Source organism: Homo sapiens, chromosome X (assembly GCF_000001405.40).
Source record: "Homo sapiens chromosome X, GRCh38.p14 Primary Assembly".
NCBI lineage: Eukaryota > Metazoa > Chordata > Mammalia > Primates > Hominidae > Homo > Homo sapiens.
The window spans coordinates 16070495-16077635 of record NC_000023.11 but is presented as its reverse complement, the minus strand read 5'-3'; the positions used below and the strand labels follow the sequence as shown (position 1 = coordinate 16077635).

Below are 7141 nucleotides of genomic sequence, written 5' to 3'. Positions count from 1 at the left end.
ACAGATTTTCCGGTTAAATTATTCAAGATGATATTCTTATATCATAAAGCCTAAATTTTCTTCAGATACCTTACTTTTAAAATGTTACATCAATTGGTAAATGAAGGCAGATTCATTTTTCAGACTGGCTACCTATTAGAAATGCATCTATAGCTTCCTGAGGATCTATGTTCTTCCCTAGTTTTCCTTCCCCTTTCCCTTCACAGTTAGCATATTTCCATAGAAGTTCCTCCTTCGCGCTAAGGACCTTCACTTACTCTCAACACATAAAACACAAAGGCTCTAAAAAGACAGCATCTGATCTCATTACAAGCAAGGAATCCCAACAGGAAATTGTGTCTCATTTCATATATTACTACTGATAAACACCAGGTGTTGCTTGTCTTTTGTTAATGGATTATTTGTATTGCATATTTTACCAAAATTATCCTATGTGAGGTTGTTTTGCTGCTATGTTTCTTAATATTATGCCATAAATACCCAAGGCAGCTAACTATAGCCCCTACAAAAGATGCAATCCTTTGCTTTTGAATATCATGCTGCTGACTCACCATCAACACATGTATTGGTATTGTCCTTCCAAACAGTTGCTTGATCTCACTTGAAATAAAGACACACAGGTGTGCCCATTAGCTGGCTGACGTCAGAGAAGCAGACTGCCCATTTACTATCTTCAAGAAAAGCCAAGTGGTCTATAAAACTTTCTAACATAAACCTTTGCCTTATCTAATCCCTAGATTTAACCTAATGATTCTTAGTCCTGGATTCGAGAATCCTTTTAGGTTTCTCCAGCTGCCTCAAGGTATATCATGAAAGCTTTTATAAATTCGCAAATGAAATAATGAAATAAATTTTGGTTCAACCTAAACTCGGATGTGTTCATTTTGAAGGTAGTGACATCCATTGACATAAATAAAAATATGGTGGAAAAAGTAAATGACAAAAAAAATCCTGCTTTTTCCTCTGCAGTAGAAGTAGATACTAATCTATTAAAGATTTAGTGGACTCAAAATAAAAAACAAAGAAAACCATAAACAATAAACTTTCTCTACATACACACACACACACACACACACACACACACATATATATTTGGATGTTGACGTTCTAACCCTCAATGGACTACAGCTGTTTAAACTGAGGCATGATGTTGTAATCATACTGACAAAATGGAAGGAATGAACTTATAATGAGATTGCAGTTGTCAAAAATAATTAGAAATAGAAAAACATTTTTAAATATTAAATAGTATTCCAAACGTTAAATATCTGAGCAATAGGTGGGCATGGCGAGTCTCCCTCAGTATCTCAGATTGTGATGTAAACAGCCTTAACTTCAAGCGATTTTTGCTTTTACTAGAAATATAAAAAGGTCAATATTAAACAGTCTCTTTTATCTTGATCCTATGCAATATGAAACACCCCTAAGGCTTACCTACAAGCCTAAGGTATATATTAAAATAACGCATAGATGAAACAGATTTATCATAGCATCCCATTGTACCCGAGTTATATATATATATAATATATACATATATGCGTGTATATGTGTATGTGTGTAAAACATGTGGCCCAAGAAGAACCTGACTTCCGCTGAATTTTGCTTCTTGCAAGATTTCATCACACTAGTATCCTTAAATCAACATTTCTACTTAAATTGTCATTTTCCAGCCTTCTTCCAGAGAATATTTTGGGGTACTGGGAGAGGAAAAAAATTGTTTTTGCAAGATAAAAACATTGGCATTTTCAACCACCAAATAAAAGGTGATAGAATTTTCATTAGTTAATATTTTCAAAATGTTCAATATTTGTGTGAACTCAGTGAGGATGTTAAACCAGAATAAGATAATTACACAGCCAGAAGATCCAAGGTCAGCAGGACCTCATTACAAACTCATGAATAGCTCCAGATATGTGATTCAGGCCTCCCATGTCCAAACAATAACTGAAAGATGATGTATCAAATTAAAAGTGGACACACATTTTGTCCACTGTTTCCATTTAGAAATATAGTCTATTTCTCCACTCCCTTGGATCTGGGCTAGGCTGGAATTGCTTTAACAACAGAATGCAGCAGAAATGAAACTGTATCCATTCCAGACTTAACCCTTTAAGAGGCCTGACAGTGTCTACTTTCTCTCTTGGAAACCAGCTGCCATGTAAGAAGTGTGACCACCCTGAGCCAAACATGCTCTGATAATCTCAAGCCATGTGGAAAGGCCCCAAAGGATTAGACATGTATGGAAAGAGCTCAGTGAGCCCTAAGACATCAGATATGTGAGTGAAGAAGCCATCTTGGAAGAGAACTCTGCTCTCCAACTGCCACCTGCTTTCTGCCTCAGCCAGGAACACATGGAGCAGAAAGGAGCTGTCCATCTAAGCCATCTGAATTCCTGACCTATTAAATCATAATCAAAATAAAATTGTTGTCTTAAACCTCTAAGTTTTAGAGTGGTTTACCAAAACAGATAAACTAATAGATGACTCATCTTTCATGATTGAGAGCTCATCTTAAAAATAACTTTTAAAACGAGGAAAAATTGCACACAAATTGGATTCTCCCCTTGTAAAGTAGTAAATGAATACCAGGAGAATTATTGCACTGTTAGCTAAACTCAACTTTATTTTTCCTTATCTAGTCTAATCCACTATATGAAGACACTAGATTTTAGCCCCTAGAACAGAACATATTGCCAATGCTCTGCTATATATAGGGGCAGCTGACAGCAGCACAGGAGAGAAAAGCAACATCCCCGAGGGGGCACTTAAAGGTTTCATCTTCTAAAATGAAAAGGAAAAGCAACATGATATTTTACCTCCTTGTATACTTTTTTAAGTGATAAAAAGAAAAGAGTATATAGATAGTTTCAGAATTATGTAACTTCAGAGACTGTCTATGGAATCGGGGCAGGGGGACCTTGTGGATGACTGTAGCAAATGAAGTAACTGATTTTTTTTTAACAATATTTATTAAGCATTGGCCTTGTACCAGAAATCTGGAGACACACAGAGAAAAGCCCTCATCCCTGCCTTCAGAGAGTTTATCCACTAGGTGAAGAGATAGGCAGGTAAACAATTACATCACTATGTGAAAAATCCAAAAACCAAAGTGTGAACCTGGTGAAGCAAGTCCAAAAAGAAGAGAGCCTAGTGTCAATTATATTAGGTTGAATTATATGAAGTTGCCAATGTTTGACCAACTTTGGTCTATAGACATGATAATTTCTTATGGTTTCATCTGCTAGTTTAGAATATCTAGGACATGATGTGAACAGGGAGAATGTTGGACCATGAGGTTGGAGAGATAAACAGGGCCATTTCAGATTCTAAAACAAAAACAAAAACCAAGCCTCGGTGAATGCCAAATTAATGAGATTACTTTTTATACCGGAGAAGACATTAAATCTTTTAAGCAGAGGAATAATACTAGGAACTTTTCATCTTGGAAAGACAGCCCTTTATTGTAGTTCACTTAAAACAAAAAGAGTCTTTGCTTTTGAGAGATATATTCTGAAATGTTTATGGATGTAAGGATACAATGTCTGTGATCAGCTTCAAAATAAGACAGTAGATAGGGGAAGCTGGTGGAAGTAGAGATGAAACAAGATTGGTCATGAGTTGATAACTGTTGAAGCTGGGGAAATAGGTACATGGAGGTTCATTATACATTCTGTCTTCTTTTGAATATGTTTTAAATATGTTTTGTCATAAAAAATAAAAACAAATACACACATACACAAAACAGAAAAGGAAGAAGAAAAAGAGAAAGAAAGGAAGAAGGAAGGAAGGAAGGAAGGAAGAAAAAAGAAAGAAAGAAAGAAAAAAGAGAAAGAAAGAAAGAAGAAAGAAAAAGAAAGACAGAACTTTGCTGCAGTGTGGGATCAATTGTGTGTGTGTAGTGGTCATATTAGTTTCCTAGGGCTGCCGTAACAAATTACCACAAACTTGGTGGTTTAAAACAAATTCATTGTCTCACAATTCTAAAGACCAAAAGTCCAAAACCAAGATGACAACAGGGCCACACTCACTCCAAAGGTTCTAGGAGAAAATCCTTCCTTGTCTCTTCCAGCTTCTGGTGGCTCCCAGCATTCCTTGGCTTGTAGACGTATCACTTCAACCTCTGCCTCCATCTTCACATTATCTTCTCTGTGTTTCTATATCCTCTTATAAAGACACCAGTCATTGGACTTAAGACCCACCCAAAATCCAGTATAATATAATCTCATGATCCTAACTACTTACATGTGCAAAACCTCATTTCCAAATGAGGTCACATTCTGAAGTTCCAGGTGGATATAAATTTTGGGGGGACACTATTCAACCCCTACAGGGGTGTTGATTGGGAGTAAAAAGTAATACTGAAGATGGGGAGAAAATTAGAAACAAAAACATAAAGTAATGAGGTTCAGAAATGAAGAAAGCCAAAACTAAGGTATTGCCTGGAAGGATTCAGTTGAGTTACACGTGTAGTAGGTTGGTGCAAAAGTAATTGCGGTTTTTGCCATTAAAAGTAATCACAAAAACCTCAATTATATCCTCAAGAGAATATAACAATTTAAAATGTATATGTACCTGACACTGGAACAACCAGATATATAAAGCAAATATTATTAGAGCTGAAGATAGATATAGACTCCAATACAATAATAGCTAGAGACTTCAACACTCTACTTTCAGCATTGGACTGCTCTTCCAGACAGAAAATCAACAAAGAAACATCAAACTTAATCTGCACTATAGACCAAATGAACCTAATAAGTATTTATAAAACATTTCATCCAATGGCTGCAGAATTCACCTTCTTCTCCTCAGTACATGGATCATTCTCAAGGACAGATCATATGTTATGTCACAAAACAAGTCTTAAAATATTCAAAACAATTAAAAGAATATCAAGCATCTTCTCTGACCATAATGGAATAAAACTAGAAATTGATAACAAGAGGAATTTTGGAAACCACACAAATACATGGAAATTAAACAACATGCTGCTGCATGACCAGTGGGTCAATGACAAAATTAAGAATAAAATGGAAACATTTCTTGAAACAAATGATAACAGAAACACAATAGACAAAAACCTATGGTATGCAGCAAAAGCAGTACTAAGAGGGAAGTTTATAGGTATAATTGCCTACATCAAAAAAGAAGAAAATATTCAAATAAACAATATAATGATGCATGTTAAAGAACTAGAAAAGCAAGAGCAAACCAAATCCAATATTAGTAGAAAAAAAGAAATAATAAATATCAAAGCAGAAATGAATGAAATTGAAATGAAGAAAACAATAGAAAAGATCAATGAAACAAAAAGTTGTTTTTTTGAAAAATTAAGCAAAATTGACAAACCTTTAGCCTAAGAAAAAAACTGAGAAGACCCAAATAAATAAAATCTCTGATCTTCTAGATTTTCCAACTTGTTGGCATATAGTTGCTCATAGTAGCCACTAATGATCCTTTGAATTTCTGCTGTTTCAGTTGTAATGTCCCCTTTTTTACAGCCTATCAATATTGAACCAGGAAGAAATCCAAAACTTGAACAGACCAATAACAAGTAACAAGATCAAAGCCATAAAAAAGGCTCCCAGTAAAGAAAAGCCCAGGACCCAATGGCTTCACTGCTGAATTCTACCAAACATTTAGAGAATAACTCATACCAATCCTACTCAAACTGTTCTGAAAAATAGATGAGGAGGGAATACTTCTAAACTCATTCTATAAGGCCAGATATCAAAACCAGACAGACAGACGTATACAGAGATGTTAGCCTGTAGAAAACTACAGGCTAATATCTCTGATGAATACTGATACAAAAATCCTCAACAAAATACTAGCAAACCAAATTCAAAAATACACTAAAAAAATCATTCCTCATGACCAAGTTGGATTTATCCCAGGGATGCAAGGATGGTTCAACATACACAAATCAATGTGATACATCATATCAACAGGATGAAGGACAAAAACCATATGATCATTTCAATTGATGCTAAAAATCATTTGATAAAATTTAACATCCTCTCATGATAAAAACTCTCAAAAAACTAGGTAGGGAAGGAACACACCTCAACATAGTAAAAGCCATATATGACAGACCCATAGCTCATATCATACTGAATGGGGAAAAACTGAAAGCCTTTCCTCTAAGATGTGTAACATGACAAGGATGCCCACTTTCACCACTATTATTCAACATAGCACTGGAAGTCCTGGCTAGAGCAAAGAGATAAGAGAAATAAATAAAGGGCATCCAAATTGGAAAGAAAAAAGTCAAATGACCCTTGTTTGCCAATGATATGATCTTATATTTGGAAAAACCTAGACTCCACCAAAAAACTATTAGAACTGATAAAAAAATTCAGTAAAGTTGCAGAATACAAAACCAACATACAAAAATCAGTAGCATTTCTATATGCCAACAGTGAACAATCTGAAAAAGAAATTTTAAAAAGTAATCCCATTTAAAATAGCCACAAATAAAATTAGATACGTAGGAATTAACCTAAGATGTAAAAGTTCTCTATAATTAAAACTATAAAACACTGATGAAAGGAATTGAAGAAGAAACCAAAAATTGGAAATATGTTCCATGTTCATGGTTTGGAAGAATCGATATTGTTAAAATGCCTGTACTACCCAAAGCAATCTACAGATTCAATGCTATCCCTATCAAAATACCAAAGATGTTCTTCACAGAACGAAAAAAATAATCCTGAAATTTATATGGAACCACAAAAGACCCAGAATGGCCAAAGCTATTGTAGGAAGAAAAAAAAAAAAAGAGGGGAGAATACAAAACAGCATGCTACTGGAATAAAAACAGACACACAGACCAATGAAACAATAGAGAACTCAGAAACAAATCCACACACCTACAGTGAACTAATTTTTGACAAAGATGCCAAGAACATACACTGGGTAAAAGATAGTCTCTTCAATATATGGTGCTGGGAAAGCTGGATATCCATATGCAGAAGAGTGAAACTAAACCCTATCTCTCACCATATACAAAAATCAAATAAAAATAGATTAAATACTTAAATCTAAGACCTCAAACTATGAAACTACTACAAGTAAACATTGAGAAAACTCTCCAGAACACTGGTCTGGGCAAAAATTTCTTGAGTAACACCCCGTGAGCA

General features: G+C 34.8%; 1 annotated feature.

Moving 5' to 3' along the window:
• Positions 383-884: an enhancer, noted in NCBI's record as "NANOG-H3K4me1 hESC enhancer chrX:16094875-16095376 (GRCh37/hg19 assembly coordinates)". NCBI's record gives its function as "activates a minimal SCP1, AML or CMV promoter by ChIP-STARR-seq in primed H9 embryonic stem cells {active_cell/tissue: H9 hESC(primed)}" and the evidence as "EXISTENCE:reporter gene assay evidence [ECO:0000049][PMID:30033119]".